This window comes from Homo sapiens, chromosome 3 (genome assembly GCF_000001405.40).
Source record: "Homo sapiens chromosome 3, GRCh38.p14 Primary Assembly".
NCBI lineage: Eukaryota > Metazoa > Chordata > Mammalia > Primates > Hominidae > Homo > Homo sapiens.
The window spans coordinates 31606202-31623497 of NC_000003.12; the positions used below are offsets into that span (position 1 = coordinate 31606202).

At 35.5% G+C, this 17296-nt stretch overlaps 1 protein-coding gene across 3 annotated transcripts in view; it reads left to right on the plus strand.

Moving 5' to 3' along the window:
* The window catches only part of STT3B (STT3 oligosaccharyltransferase complex catalytic subunit B), a 104692-nt gene that overhangs the window by 73277 nt on the left and 14119 nt on the right, over positions 1–17296 (plus strand). For 2 of the 3 annotated variants that reach the window (NM_178862.3, XM_017005858.2), the window contains exons 6-10: positions 8904–9002; positions 10728–10874; positions 11739–11787; positions 13475–13629; positions 15896–16107. In NM_178862.3, coding sequence (NP_849193.1) covers positions 8904–9002; positions 10728–10874; positions 11739–11787; positions 13475–13629; positions 15896–16107 — 662 coding nt within the window. Of the gene's footprint in view, positions 1–8903; positions 9003–10727; positions 10875–11738; positions 11788–13474; positions 13630–13763; positions 15683–15895; positions 16108–17296 lie in introns of those variants that run through there. The other variant, XM_011533465.2, reaches the window with a different exon arrangement.

Genomic DNA, 17296 nt, shown 5'->3' on the forward strand with positions numbered 1-17296 from the left:
CTGACAATGCAATAGAAAAGCAGAACCCATTCTCTGAGGAGAAATTGAAGCAGGCTGCAGAAATATGTGTAAGTAACAAAGAGCCAACTGTTAATGCCAAGACAGTGGGGGAAATGTCTCCAGGGCATGTCAGAGACCTTTGCAGCAGCCCCTCCCATCATAGGTCCAGAGGCCTAAAGGAAAACATGGTTTCATGGGCCAGGCCCAGGACCCTCCCTGCTGAGTTTTGCCTAGGGACTTGGTGCCCTGTGTCCCAGCTGCTCTAGCCATGGCTAAAAGGGGTTAAGGTACAGTTCAGACAATGGCTTCAGAGGTTGCAACCTGTAAGTCTCGGCAGCTTCCACATGGTGTTGAGCTTGCAGGTGCACAGAAGTCAAGAATTGAGGTTTGGGAGCCTCCACCTAGATTTCAAAGAACGTATGGAAATGCCTGGATGTCCAGGCAGAAGTTTGCTGGAGAGGTGGGGCCCTCAAAGAGAACCTTTGCTAGGGCAGTGTGGAAGGGAAATGTGGGCTTGAAGCCCCCATACAAAGTCCCCACTGGGGCACTGCCAAGTGGAGCTGTGAGAAGAGAGCTACCGTCTTCCAGACCTCAGAATGGTAGATTCACTGACAGCTTGCACCATGCGCCTAGAAAAGCTGCAGACACTCAATGCTAGCCCATGAAAGCAACCAGGAGGGAGGCTGTACCCTGTAAAGCCACAGGGGCAGAGCTGCCCAAGACCATGGAAACCCACCTCTTGTATCAGCGTGACCTGGATGTGAGACATGGAGTCAAGGGAGATCATTTTGGAGCTTTAAGATTTGACTGCCCTGCTGGATTTTGGACTTGCATGGGACCTTCAGCGCCTTTATTTTGGCCCATTTCTCCCATTTGGGCTGGGTGTATTTATCGAGTGCCTGTACCCCCATTGTATCTAGGAAGTAACTAACTTGCTTTTGATTTTACAGGCTCATAGGCAGAAGGGATTTGCCTTGTCTTGGATGAGACTTTGGACTGTGGGTTTTTGTGTTAATGCTGAAATGAGTTAAGACTTGGGACTATTGGGGGACTATTGGGAAGGCATGATTGGTTTTGAAATGTGAGGACATGAGATTTGGGAGGTGCCAGGGCAGAATGTATGGTTTGGCTGTGTCCCCACCCAAATCTCATCTTGAATTGTAGTTCTCATAATTTCCACATGTTGTGGGAGAGACCCGGTGGGAAATGATGCATGGGAGTGGTTTTCCCCATACTGTTCTCCTGGTGGTGCATAATAACTCTCACAAGATCTGATGGTTTTGTAAGGGGAAACTCCTTTCGCTTGGTTTTCATTTCTCTCTTGCATGCCACCTTGATTGTGAGGCCTCCTCAGCCACATGGAACTGTGAGCATTAAACCTCTTTTTCTTTGTAAATTGCCTAGTCTCAGGTATGTCTTTATCAGCAGTATGAGAACAGACTGATCCAAGTGTTATATAATTGAATAAATGTATATAGTTGAAAAAGTCAAATACTACAGGGTTTATAGCAAATAAAACGTTGATTTCCTGTTTTTTGTTGTTTTTGGGGGGTTGTTGTGGTTGTTGTTGTTTGTAGAAATGGTAGGGGGATCTCATTAAGTTGCCCAGGGTGGTCTCGAACTCCTGGGCTGAAGTGGTCCTCCCACCTCCGCCTTCCAAAGTGTTGGGATTACAGGCGTGAATCACTGTGCCCAGCAGCATTTTATTTAATATAGCTACATTTTGTTGCCACAAAATATTTGGGATTACACCCCAGTATTTACAGTGGTATTCAGTATGTAATTAAACAAGTAGTTTTGATGGTTTTGATCCTAAGGTATTGAAAACAATAAGAGGCTGTACAGTTTTATGTTTGTGGCAGATAAAGTTTTATCAAGACAAGATTCCATCTTCTACAGATGCAATATTATTATTTGCATTAATTGTTTTGCCTTTACTGTTTATTGTACCTTCAAGGTAGGTGAGCCAAGAGCAGACAGGCAAACGGGACTACAATAACTACACTCCTCCGCCCCTATTTTTTCCATAGGTTTTCATTTAAAATTAGAAGTTTCAGTGTTGATTACATAAAGTGAGTTTTCAAGATGAGTGTTGTAACAGGCACTGAAGCTAGTTATTGGGGGAAAGAGATGGGATTTTCCTTAGATCGGTTTACAATATTTATGGATCTTCTTTGCAGCTTTGCCAGTGGATATTTTAGAGGTTATTGGGGTTGGGGGAAACTGAAAGTTCAAACACAAAGGGAAGATGGTATTGCTTGCACCACCTATGCTGCTAATATGACTCATTGTGTAGTTCACAAGGATTAGTCCTCCAGTATCTCCTTATATTAAAACTCGGGATATTTAGAGCAAGGATCTCACCTGTGTTGTAGCAATAATCATTGGCCTGATCAAAAAGGCTTTCAGTGAATAGAAACAGTCTTCATGTTCTACAGGCCAACCATTATCTAGAAGAATAGACCTGAGTGAGATTTCCTTTAAAGGTCTATTCTTCTCATTGAGAAATGTGTGTTTCATAGTCCAGAAGAATTAACTCCTGCATAGAAGTAGTTATGGATTCTTCATGGTATCAGTTAAATGAATTTAGGAGCCTACTACAGTAGTAGTCGACAATAAGAAAAGGATGTGTTGGCCAGGTGCAGTGGCTCACGCCTGTAATCCCAGCACTTTGGGAGGCTGAGTTGGGTGGATCACGAGGTCAAGAGATCGAGACCATCCTGGCCAACATGGTGAAACCCCATCTCTACTAAAAATACAAAAATTAGCTGGGCTTGGTGGCATGCACCTGTAGTCCCAGCTACTCAGGAGGCCGAGGCAGGAGAGTTGCTTGAACCTGGGAGGCGGAGGTCGCAGTGAGCCGAGATCATGCCACTGCACTCCAGCCTGGCGACAGAAAAAGACTCTGTCTCAAGAAAAGAAAGAAAAGGATGTGTTAAGAAGAACCAAAACGTTTTTAGTGGCAACATGACTTGTGGTAACAGGATTTGTGATTTCCTGTAGTTTAAATCTTTTTTTATTTTTTGTTTGTTTTACTCTCTTCTTTATGAGTGAATTAAATTTGCTGGTATTTGTCTTTTACTACTTCTTGATATGTTAGGTATAGTCACTACTTAGCTCTAGAAGCTACTGAGGATCATTACCTAACACCTCTTAAGTTACATAAAAATTATATATTCCATGAGTTTTTCATAGTCTCCAAACACACCACACATACAGTACCTTTGTAATTTCACTATATTTTAATATTATTTCATTAAACATTGCCAGAATTAAATGAATTGTTCCCACAGGGTAGAACTTAAACCAAGATGTACTTTGTTTAGATTTGTTTTTTCATTTTAGTTATCAGTACCAGATACACTTGCTGAGTTTGTTTTTTTGTTTTTTTGTTTTGTTTTGTTTTGTTTTGAGACAGAATCTCACTCTGTCACTCAGGCTGGAGTGCAGTGGTGCCATCTCGGTTCACTGCAACCTCTGCCTCCTGGGTTCAAGCAATTCTCCTGCCTCAGCCTCCTGAGTGGCTGGGACTACAGGCATGTGCCACCACACCTGGCTAATTTTTGTATTTTTAGTGGAGATGGGGTTTCACCGTGTTGGGCAGGCTGGTCTTTAACTCCCAAAGTTCTGGGATTACAGGCGTGAACCACCACACCCGGCCACACTTGCTGTTTTAAAAATGTTGTGATTAAGTATCTCTACTGAAGTGTTTTGAACACGTAAGTAATTTCTTGCTGCTTTTACAAGTCTGGAGTTTGTAAAATATAAGTTTCAGTGATTCATTCTCAACATAGTTTATAATGAGCATTGTCCTTGGAAAAGAGAAATGATTTTTATCATTATGTATGCCTGTTAAGTTAATCATATATTTCTCTGCTGGTCAAGAAGAATCAGTGTTTTGTGTTTTTTTGTTGTTTTATTCTTTAATCCATGTTTCTTACTATTCTTTATCCTGCATATCTACCAGGGTTCACAGTAACCAGAAGTGATTACAAAGAAATAAAATATCTTTAGTATTCAAAGCCTTCATAAGCCTTTAATCATATTTGTTTATAATAAAGCAAAATTGGTTGGATTTTAAAGTATCTACCCGTTGTGTGTGTTTTGGCTAATACTATTTTGGTTGAGAGAGAGCAAAGCAATTCAAAAATGCTAATGTGATTTAACATGGGTTAAAGTTAATGGGAATATAGTATTTGCATAACCTTTTCTAACTTTATTTACATAAAAAGAAGTATAACAATAACTTAAAAGTGTAAAGAGCACTGTCAATGTAAGCTGCAATGCCTTATCAGAGAGAAGGTACTTAAAGATTGCTTTGGGGAACAGCAAACTTCTTCAATACTTAAAATTTCATTTGAATTTGAGTCAGACTTTTCAGTGCCTTTTCTTTTCTAGAATAATTCACTTGAGCACATTAAGTCAAGGACTATGGTATATTTCTTCTCTATATCTGTCTCGTCCCACCCTTGGATATAAAATATTTCCAAGAATGTAGACATCTTTAGGTTCTGTTGAGATTATTACTTATCTGTCCCAGATGAGAGATTTTCTTTGGTTAAGAATAAACAGAATAATAATATATGTGTGTGTATATGTATATACATATCTTTCTAATGGTAATTTTTTGTGGAATTTTTCTCACACATTGGAATTATCATCTCCAGTAATGAATGCCAGTAACTGTGCATCCACAGGATGGCAGTGTGGTAACATTTTCATGATGTAATAAATGATTTACAACACTATTGGTATCATGTATTTCCTTAGAGCTCACCACTTTGATGGAATGCTTTATTCTTCTAACTTAAAGGGTAAGAAAAGTAGGTTTACATGGATGGATAGAAAATTGTAATAGATGGGTATAGTAGTTTAGTTAGGGTTCTTAAAGAGTTCATTGGAAGGAGAATTGGTAGAGAATGATGGCTATGGGTTTGTCTTGTTGAGGTCTTCTGAAAACACTAGAGAACAGTACCAGACATTAATTACCTCTTCGAAGTCCATGTCAAGAAAAGAAGAGATCTTAAGTTTTATAGAGCCTTTCCCCCACCAAATGTCACATGACCTTTCTTCCTAATATTATGGTTATTTGTTTACATCTCTGATTTTTAGCAATTTATCTGACTCTTAGAGGGTAGGATTGATCTTAATGGGATTTTCTGTTTTTAGAATATATTGACCATACTCAAGTTAATGTTTAAATGCATAAATTGAAGAGGTAATTTCTAAACATATATTAGATGCTGTAGTACAAAGTCTGGCAAAAAGCGTATGTTTTCATTTTGCAGTGGAGATTGTGTTTCTTTATTTATTTTGAGATGGAGTTTCGCTTTTGTTGCCCAGGCTGGAGTGCAGTGCGATTTCAGCTCACTGCAACCTCTGCCTCCCCAGTTCAAACGATTCTCCTGCCTCAGCCTCCCAAGTAGCTGGGATTACAGGCACGCGCCACCACACCCAGCTAATTTTTGTAATTTTAGTAGAGACGGGGTTTCTCCATGTTGGTCAGGCTGGTCTCAAATTCCCAACCTCAAGTGATGCATCCGCCTCAGCCTCCTAAAGTGCTAGGATTACAGGTGTGAGCCATCATGCCTGGCCAAGATTGTGTTTATTTTTAAGAATTGAGTTACTTCACCATTTTTTTTACTCAGATGTATCTAATTTCTTATTTTCTATGTCTTAAAATGTAGATTTGTAAATGAGATTTAAATTGAGATATAGCAATATATGTGTAATTTTACAAATTCAAGCAGAGCAGTCAGTATTAAGCAAGGTATTTGTTGTATTTGACATATTATCTGGCAAGCAATCTTCAACTTTATTTAATGGAAGTACAAGTTGAGTACTCCTAATTTGAAAATTCAAAACTTTCTGAGCACCAATATGATTCTCAAAGGAAATATTCACTGGAGCGTTTCCTGTTTTGCATTACCAGTTTGGGTATGCTCAGCTATTAAGTATAATGCAAATATTCCAAAAATCCAAAAAACTTCTAGTCCCAAGCATTTTAGATAAGGGATATTCAAATTGTGTCTATCCGTGCACTGAAGAGTGTTATGACATAAAACACATACCTCCAATATGTAAACATCTCAGGTTCAGTGATCCAAAAAATGTGAAAAATAGGTACTTGGGTCCAGTTCTCTTAAAAGTAAATGCTTATGTTTGGATTGTTGTAGATACCACGTTTATCAGATTTGTACCATTGGTGCTGGTAAGTGGGTATGAATGAGACTAATTGGGATAGAGGAAGTTTCAAGGTAAAATACTGTTGAAAACTTGTCTGTTTCTATTAGTTTATCTTTAGCATTAACCTATGTTTACCAAATAATACAAATTAAAGTCCCACCTGGGCTTTTTCATTTCCTATTTTCTTTTTCTTGAACTCTCCATCACTCTTATTATTAACTTAAACTCTAGTGCATCTGCTTCTGTATAAAATGTTTTCTACTTTACTAATGATAGTAAATATCTCTGAGAAGTTGCAGGGAAGTGCTGAATTGAGAGTATTATCGGGTCTCCTCTTTTCAAATACGCCTGGAAATGAATTTGAGCAAATGTCTAAGATGAAACTTCATCTGTAGTTACCAAACATGATTGCTAAAATTTTTACATTGTCAAGCAAAGTGTGGCTCCATTTGAAGAGAAAGTATGAATATGACTATGAATATGTATTTGTGTACCCATATACCTGCTAGTGATTATTTCTGGAGAATGTGACTTAGAGGGAAATAAATAGGGTGGAAACTTTTTCACTTTTTACTTTAAGACAAAAACAACATCTATTACCTTTGCAATTGAACCAATTATCCATACAGACAGATGCAGATTTGTGGTTACCATGGGCTGGAAATAGGACAGAATGTGGAGTAGTAAGAGCTTAGTGAGTGTAGGGTTTTGTTTTGGGGTAATGAAAATTCTTTAGGACTATAGAGGGGTAGTGGTTGCACAACCTTATGCGTGTACTCAATATCCCTGAATTTGTTCTCTTTAAAATGGTTATGTCATGTGACTTTCACCTCAATTTTTTTAAGAAGGCTTTTTCATTCAGTTTGTATCATTTCTTATATTAAACCTAAATTCTGTGGCAGTGTTACAGCATTCAGTGTTTATTTGTACTTAGAAGAAAGAAATCCAGCTTCAGAAGTGATTGTCGTGTTTCAACATAAGTGGACTTAGCTATAATAAAAACATAAATGACATAAGGTTTTCTCAGGCCTAGTCAGTTTCTAGTTGTGCCTTTGTGTGTTCAGTGTTTGTCTAGGATTTGACTTCTCAGCTCTGGATATCTGAAAGGCCTGTTGATCATAGAATCTTAGTTTATAATTGTTGGGAGGGATCTACAAATCTTGTCCAACCCACATTCTATAGTGAGGAAACTGAAGCTTTTGCTGTTAAGTAGTTGTAAGATTACATAGTGATCTTCTTCTCAGTTTTTAATTTTCTTTATACTTTAGTATGCATGGTTCTTTTTTTTTTCTCTCTCTTTCCTGCCTCTGTGACTCTCCTTTATCAGGGCTTCAACAGGCTGATTTGTTTAAAAAAATAATTTGTAGACATTTCGGGTCATGTGACGGGGAAATTTTTGTTTAACTTTGATTACATTTGGGTTTGGGTACGTCATAGAGGGTAATTCCATTCCAACATTAATGTGTTTGGAAAGAACGTTATCTGATGGATTATGTCTGTTGTCTTCTAGACATCTGGTCCTCCATTAGCTTGAGGTCAGTGGAAACTTTACTTACTTTGGTCCTTCCTATTAAATTTATGAGCTTCTTACTGTCTTCCTAACACTGTGGTCATCTCTTATCATATAGATTGTGAGGCAACTTAATATTTGAACCAGTAGCCCCTAACTTCCTTCTCTAGATGGATTTCTTTTAAAAGCAAATGAATATTCTTTCTCATCTAAGTTGGGTGAGGAGGAAAGTGTGTAGTACACTATGCTACACAGTATATAGGATACACAAATACGTGTATTCCTAAATATACCCCCCAATCTTTGTTTTTGATAGAGTAGTTTATTTGCCAAAAACTATTAAATGATGTGTAATCTGTATAAATGGGGTAGTTTTTACGTTAACTTATTTCAGATGGGCTTTATTTCTAATGAATTTTTAGTTTCAGTGACTTCAAATACTTTCTCTCTAATCAATTGCGTAACAGTGGTCTGTGAATATAAAGCAGGTATTTGACACAAATTGTAAATCCCTCCCCAGTTTCCTTGTCCATTTAGATTGACAAACTTAATTTAGATTGATGAGAATACTATAACATACTTAGTGTGAAAAGAAGTGAGTTTCTTTTATTAGATGCTAAATTCAGTAGCTGGTCTGTATAATGGCTTGACTTCTGTGTACTTAGTTCTTTAATTACAGAAAACTTGGTGGACATATGAATTTATTTAACTCATAGTACTATACAAAGGTATTATGGGATAATAAAAAGGTATGAACTACTTCAGAGCTTTTGAGACAGTAGCAGGTATTCACACATGCTGGCAGTGGTGATGAGTATTAAGTCGTGTATTTTGGATTAATGCCAATAGGACTGATATTTACTTAATTTTATGTATGTATTACTTAGCTTCTTGAGTCGTATGAATGATTGCTAATGGTAGATCAAAACAAACTTGATTCCATTTCTGGGAAAGGAATGCAACACAAGTCTCACAAACTGTTGTAATGATCTGCAAAATATAGTACTTAGTATTTTTGAAAAATGGATAGAATATTCAGAATCTGTAACATATGGTTAACAAATGGACATCTAATAAAAGTCATTTCAAGATTCTGTTCTTAAATTCAGTTAATACTTTGCTAAAAACAGGATTTACATATACATTTATGTTTTAGGTACTTAATGGTAGTAGTAAATTATCCTTGTTTCCTATTTTGTCTTTATAGCATATAGCACTTTCTACATTGTGGGTTTAATATTATCAATGCAGATACCTTTTGTGGGATTCCAGCCAATCAGAACAAGTGAACACATGGCAGCTGCAGGTATGAAAAATATATATTTTCCTTCTTCTAAAGAATATGTGGACGTGTGATTGGCAGTCTTCCAAGAGATGACAGTTTTTGATCATTTTGGTTGTTGCAATGACAACCAAAGTAATCTGACTCACAATTATGGGAAATCTGTAGATAAAAATTTTATCAGAGATTCTCATTGCAAGGTTCATGACCCATTGGAAGTCTGTGGGTAGTTATTTTATTTGTAACATCTGTACACTGATACTATATAGATAGCAATATATAACTTTCAGAGGTGGTGTTTCTATAGAGTTTATTATCAGATTCTCAGTGGAGTCTGACTTAATCTCCATCTTCCCAGAATAGTTAAGAATCACTATCTTACTGTTATATAGCACTTTAAAATTTATGAAATGCTTTTACTTAGATTTCTGAATGGATGTTGTCACTTTACCAAGTAGTAATTTGAGACGCAGAGAGATGTATATTTAGTGTTGTGTACACAATAATGAATAGAATGTCTATGTAATTACGCAGTCACCTGTCTTTACACGTATGCATTACAACATTTCCTAAACTCTAAATCTTTGATAATACTTACTTAACCATTGTAAAATGGACTTTTAAAAACAACCCTTAAAATTGAATTTATTTTTAAAAATTAATATTCTAGATGCTTGAGGATTCTTACATCCTCTTTGTTTAAAGTTTTATGTTTAATGTTTTTGTATCATGTTTTGTACTTTTTGAGAATCCGTTTTTGCGACTACTCCTTTAGTTTTGTATATCTTAGCACTCACCTTTATATTTACTAATGTAGGGGAGAAAAGATTGTTATCTCTAACAAAAGACAGATTAACAAGAGAAAAGCATAAATTTTACATGACACAAGAGTCTTCAGAAGTGAAAATTTTAAAAAGGCAGGGAAACTGTATTTTTATGCTTAGGTTTGATGAAGAGTGGACAGTCATGTAGAAATAAGATTGGACAAAGAGAAGTACGATCTAATGGCAACAGACTGGGAAGAACTTAAGGCCTATTTGTTCATATTCTTCTTGGTGTCTCTGTGTCTTCATCTTTTCCTCTGGGTGTTAGAAGGACCCCTCTGGAATGAGGATCTTATAACCTACTTACAGGAAGGTCAGAGAATTATTTTATGACCTGCCTCAGGGGAGAACAAACAGAAAAGATGAGAGAGACTTCCCAGTTTCTGCTGGTTTCTCAAATGCCAAGATGCCATAATTTGGCATGAGCCCTGATACAAATTTAGAATCTTGTCTAAATGTGTAATTAAGGTCACATCTTATTACTCAGTTATAAATAGTAACTATATATCAAGATTATCCTGATCCTAAGTCTTTGTATCCTTCAGCAAAACAAATCGGAGAATTGTTTTTCAGTGATTTTGAAAAATTACTTCCCTCCACCCCAGAAAACCCCCCTAAAATATAGAGGAAAGGGAGGAACTTAATGTGTTAAATAGGCTTGTTATTCAAATGGGATTTTTTTTCCCCTTTGGTCTGGTACATGTGTAAGGAGTCTGATCATTTAGGAAAAAAAAAAAAAGTCACAGAATTTTTTGGATGTATTAATTAGGCAACTGTCATTTGACAAAGGAAATGTTGGCTAGATGAAATAAGTAGTCTTTGATATGAATGGTGCAGGACATTCTAAGAAGCTCTTTCAAATGAAAGTTTTTAAATGACCTTGGAAAACTGCTTTGTTGATTATGTGACCCTTTTCTTTAATTAGGTGTCTTTGCATTGCTGCAAGCTTATGCTTTCTTGCAGTATCTGAGAGACCGATTAACAAAACAAGAGTTCCAGACCCTTTTCTTTTTGGGTGTATCACTAGCTGCAGGTGCTGTGTTCCTTAGTGTCATCTATTTGACTTATACAGGTACGTGTTATCACCTGTAGGGTGTGAATATTGTCTATACAAACAATATAAGAAAAATAGCCAAAGTTTCTAAAATCTGAATAACAGCATGACTACAAAGTGATTTTTTTCTTTTTTTTTTTTTTTGAATAGTATATCTTAATTTTGTGGCATCAAGCTCTGATAAATCTACTTTTAAGCGTCCTTCTCTTGCTGGATGAATAGTCCCAAACTATAAAAAGAAAAAAAAAATCAGAGCTTCTGTTATTTACCTGTTATATGCTCACCTTCTCTTGCATGCACACACACTCCCTCTTTCTCCCCTACTTTTCAGCAGTTTACTAACAGAATCAGTTTCAGTCTGCTTCTGGATTCTAAGTTACCCTCTAACCTTTATTTACCAGTCCTTAGAAACAAATTGAATTCTTTCTAAATTTATTCTGTCAAATTAATGTAAAAGCCGTGAGTGTTTAAAATCATCTTTGAATTTATCTGGTGGGATATGGCATACTGGACTAGATCATTTAGAAACTCCCTTTCCCCTGCCCCCCGTTTATTTTATTTTTTTTAAATGATCTGGTCTTGTTTAATGCCTTAGCCTTATTAGTCAACTAAAAGCTTAAGAGAATTGGAAAACTTTCTACAACTTTATCTCAAATGTGTTTCTCTGGAAGTGGGTTCTCCATGGATATTGTTTTTATTTGATCACTACCTTATTTTTTCTGACTGCCAACTGTCTGAAATAGGTTGACACCTATAAATGAAAACTGAAATTCTTTGAACATTAGTTTGTCTATCTATAATTAGCAATAAACATAAAGGCAATAAAAGATTTACAAAATAATAAAAAGGCAGATTAATTTCATCCATGTTTTTCCTTCCAAGGTTACATTGCACCATGGAGTGGCAGGTTTTATTCATTGTGGGATACTGGGTAAGTACAGTTACATTATTTGGCATCATATTTATTGAAATACTGCTTTTCCTTTGTTTTTATCTGTTTTGTCAGTGTTTCACTCAGTTCTTGGGCAACACTTCTAAGTACCAAAGATGCTAGTTTAGTAAATGTTAAATTCCTTTTACTTTATCTTGTTATGATACCTGTTCTGAATGCATCTTTAGTATGAAATGTACGTTGTGTATTACTGTTCTGCATGGGCAACTCCTTGTTTCCGTTTTGTTTGTAAGAATATTTAGGTTACCTTTGTGCAATTTAAAGATTGATTTGTCTTTTATAACATTTTCATCTTTAGTAATAATTTTTTATTCTTAAGAATTCTTAAGGATACTGTTTAATTGCCATAGATAGGAAGAAAATTTAATTTTTTCTAATACCATCTGATCTAAGTTTTTTTGTTTTTTTAAATCTGTGAAACACAAGAGAATATATATCTGTTGTGGTTTTTTTTTTTAAAGTGCTGTTATAAAATGAGTTAATACATTTGGTTTTGAATTAGACTAGTTCAATAAAACTTTTTTTCTCTAAAATGTTTTCCTGGAGATTAGAAAATATCTATTGATTATAATTTATGCCCCTCCTCTGTTCCTGCTGTTCTGTCTTGTTACTCCCCAGGTGGCTCAATAAAAAACAATTTATTGAACAGACATGCTTTCTGATGTGATACCAGAAGGACTTGTGTCCAGGTCTAATTAAAGGACATAAGCAAATTATGCATGAATGACTGGAACTAACAATTAGACACATACTTCAAGAGTTCAGCCTGTGGATCACTAACGAATTTGAAGGATAACCCAAGTTGTAGAATGTTATTCTGATTAGGTTAAATTACTAGGTTAACTTGTGCAGTTATATTATAAAGTAATAATATAACTGTAAAATAAATTATACAGTTATATATAACTGTAAAGTAAAATTGTAATATTATAATATAACTTGTGCAGTTATATTATAAAGTAGTCAATTAATTGACTACTTTAGAATCTCAGGGTGTTTCAGTAATAATTTTTTCAGTCCTTTCCATTTCCTTCACCTGTCTCCATGCCAGCTTCATGTCAAGCAAGGCATTATTGTGTAAGGTGTAATTATTGGGTAAAGTATTTCTGCTACAGGTTGAGTATTCAAAATCTGAAACGCTCTAAAATCATGAACTTGTTGAGCACCAACATGATGCTAAAAGGAAATGCTTATTGAAGCATTTCAGAATTTCAGATTAGAGATGCTGAACTGGTAAGTATAATGCAAATATTCTAAAATCTGAAACACTGCTGGTTCTAAGCATTTCAGATAAAGGATATTCAGTCTGTAGTAATAATTCCAAAAGGTAATGAGACTCGTTGATGCAAACATGAAAAATGCTGACTTAAACTACAGAACAAATTGCCAGTTGAACAGAGATTTCTGTATTGGAATTCAGAGCCAACATTCTCATGTCTGGATCTAGATAATTCTCTGAATTTTACAGAGGGCATATTAGTTTTAGTTTTACCAGTGTAGACCAAACAGAAACTATCCAGTATAACTGGTTACCTTGGAAGGTATATTTAAATAAGAAGGGGTAGGGAGTAGGTACCATTTCTACAACCAAACAAGATTTCTTCATCTAAAAGGAACTCCTGTTTTATCACTTAATTGTAAACAATATTAACTTTTTTAATACCAGGTATGCAAAAATACACATTCCAATTATTGCATCAGTGTCTGAGCATCAACCTACGACTTGGGTGTCTTTCTTCTTTGATCTACATATTCTTGTATGTACCTTCCCAGCAGGCCTTTGGTTCTGCATCAAAAATATCAACGATGAAAGAGTATTTGGTAAGAGAGGTTTTTAATGAATACTTTGATATGGAATAGTTATTTTTCTTTTTGAGATTATTTACTTTAAATTTTTGTTTTTCTATGTTTGACTCTATATATTCAAGATAAATTTTCTCCTTTATTTTGCATAGGTGCTTAACCAAGAAAAATTCACTGAGAGGCTGGGCATGGTGGCACACGCCTGTAATCCCAGCACTTTGGGAGGCCGAGGCGGGCGGATCACCTGAGGTCAGGAGTTCGAGACCAGCCTGGCCAACATGGTGAAACCTTGTCTCTACTAAAAATACAAAAATTAGCCGAACATGGTGGTGCATGCCTGTAATCCCAGCTACTCAGGAGGCTGAGGCAGGATAATTGCTTGAACCTGGGAGGCGGAGGTTGCAGTGAGTCAAGATCAAGCCACTGCACTCCACCCTGGGAATCAGAGCGGGACTCTGTCTCAAAAAAAAAAAAAAAAAGAAAAAAATTCATTGAATTTGTATTAAGTATTTTGATTGTTTTAATTTAGGACTAGTATATTATGGTTTCTGAGAGGTTAATGTTGTAGTTTGTGTTTGAGAATTGAAAATTTTAACTTTGTTGACAATAGCCTTGACTTTGTTTTCTGAGTAAAATTTTATTTAAGTAGGAAGAAGTTTTTAGGGACATTCATCTTCCAGATTTCAGAGCAAAGACCATTTTATAGCGGAATAAGGATCACCTTTCACTAAACATCCTCTTCATTGACAGATTTGTATATTTCCAACTAATAAGACTTGAAATACAAAATATTTAAATGCCAAGTATTTAGGGTTCTATATTTCTAATATAAGTGGACAAAATAAGCAGATATCAAAGGCTTCTACATGATTTAATCACACATGAAATATGCTGTGGTTGTTTTGTATGAGATAAAAACTGAAACTGAGAAAAACTTTATCACGTGCACAGGATCACACCAGTTGGTAAGTAATTTGTAGTGCTAGAAACTTGTACAATTATAGGATCTGGACCATGAGTGACACATGAATCAGGAAAGAAAGAACAGCACCTGTAGGGGTTCAGTTTAAAGGATTGCACACTCATTGTTCTCTAGGTTAATGGATCCTGGATGAGGCCCTGTTAATACTGCATCATTCAAGAAGATTTAACTTAAACCTCATGACTCAGTAATCCCATTCCTATGTATATATCTAAGAGAAGTGAGTGCATATGTCTACCAGAAGACATGTTTAAGAATGCATTAGTAATTTTATCTACAGTAACCCCTAATAGTAAATATTCCAAAGTCATCAGCAGTAGCATGAATAAATTTTTGTATATCTGTAGTGGAATACAACACAACAATCATTAAAGAACAGGATGGGGAAATAAGAGAAGCCAATACAAAAGAGAACATTTTTATGTGGTTACATTCCTGTAAAGTTCAACAATAAGGAATACTAATTCTTTAGAAGTCTAAATAGTGGTTACCTTTTTTGATAGGGGAGGGGGTTGTTACTGACTGAGAAGAGGCATGAGGACATATAAAAATGTTCTATATCATTATGGGTTGTAGTTACACAGGTGTGTATATATACAAATTCATTGAGATACACACTTAAGAATATGATGCGATGTATTTTTTAGTCAGGAAGAAAAATTTAATTAGCATCAGATAAGGTAGGAGCTCACATGACTCACTGAATTTGTAAAGTTATACATAGCCTTCAGCCAGAAATAGTTAGAGTCTTTTCCTGTGGTTAGCACATTATCCAGAAAGCTCTGGCTATTGGAAATTTGTTTCAAAAATTTTTTTTAAGTTTCTTGGCAGTAACTTTGCAGGTTCCTCCTTTGATTAATAACTTACGTTCTTCTCATCCCGTTTTTGTTTTAAAGCAGGTTTTATGCCAGATATTGGCACTGGCTTTTTATAGATTTTAAATCTATAAATTTATTTTGCCTGGAGATGTCATGCACAAATATGTTTTTATCTGCCAGCTATGGGTTTTTTATGATGTTATTGACAAATAGTGAATTAAGTCTAATTCTTCATAACTAATTAAATTTGAATCATATACATTTTTCTAAACTGTGGATGTGTAGGTTTTATTTAGTGAACACTAGTTATAATTTCTAAATGTGGCTAATTAATCAGTTGTTCAGTAGTATCAATTTAGAAACAATTAGATCGTTTGTGAGACATTTATATAATTCCAGGTTGGTTTTATAGTTTTAAGTATCTAGTTCAGTTTCCTGGGAACTTTTTCCCTCCAACATATTGTAAGAGAATTTGTCTTTGCAGTTGCTCTATATGCAATCAGTGCTGTCTACTTTGCTGGAGTGATGGTGCGACTGATGTTGACTTTGACTCCAGTCGTGTGTATGCTGTCTGCAATTGCCTTTTCAAATGTTTTTGAGCACTATTTGGGGGATGACATGAAAAGGGAAAATCCACCTGTGGAGGACAGCAGTGATGAGGATGACAAAAGAAACCAAGGAAATTTGTATGATAAGGTGGGGAATCTAAAGTAAGGCCTTTAAATTGTCTATGTCCTTTCTTAATTTTTCCACCACAGTAAGAACTATACATATCAAGAAATGTTATTAAATGATGATTTGGACAAACTGTGACTTTTCTAGTTGGTCTCCACTGTTTGCCTCAAAATATGAATCCTGGTCAGTCCTTTAGCTCAGAGTTAGAAAATAGAATGTAATCAGAGAAGGAATTCCTCTTTTTGGTAATTTGTTATCTAAATACTTAAGATATATACCCTTGTTAATATACCCTTCCATTTTTGAGAGCAAAAACTTTATGCTGTACTAAATTACATAACATTTGGCACTGTAAACCCCTCTGAAACCATGTGGACAGACAGGTGCTTATCCTTGAGGTCCATACTCAGTGCATACTTTCAAAATATTTTGGAAGTGACATTTGATTGGTTGAACAGTAAAATGAAGGGAGCAAAATGCCTTTTTTAAAACCCTCCAGTTCGTTAGCAATAGGTAACTGGCCAATACAGGTAATTTATTTTTAATCTATAGTTTCTCAGTTGGTGCAAGTGTGAAAAGGACTTGTAAGAATTAGAGCACTTGTCTTGGATGACATATTAAACTTTGCTATTTGAATATTGCCTGGATTTTAAAATACTAATAAATTAAACTTCCCAGTATCAGTAATAACTTTGAAATTCTTTCCTTCTATAAGATGAATGTAATTCATAAAGATGTGTGTTAATAAACCCACATTCCTGATTTTTGTGTTTGTTGTTATTGTTGGGGTTTTTTTGTTGCTTTGTGGTTTCTTAACCAGCCTTGAAATTTAGAAGTTGTGACTTTTTCTATTCTCTCTTCCCTTTTCTGTTGGGGAAGGTGATTTTTTAAGGTAATCGTAGTTTTAACAAGTCTGTTGGTTTTAGGGTTTCGAAATCGGAAGACTGATTCTGTTAATGCAGTTTTTTCCTATACTAAAGTGGTACATGGTCAAAATTATAGCTGAGCATTGCCATTTTCAGGATGTGGAATTCAGATTTTATAAGAATTTACATATTAAGATTTCACCAGAATGGGGTCATTTGGTTAATCTCCTTTGTATTTAATTAAAGTATAAGGACAACTGGGTTTGAAAGCAGCTTCTTACTGGAGATAATTATTTTGCTCTGTGACCAGTTTCTGGATTGGTATATTCCCAGGAAACCTTATT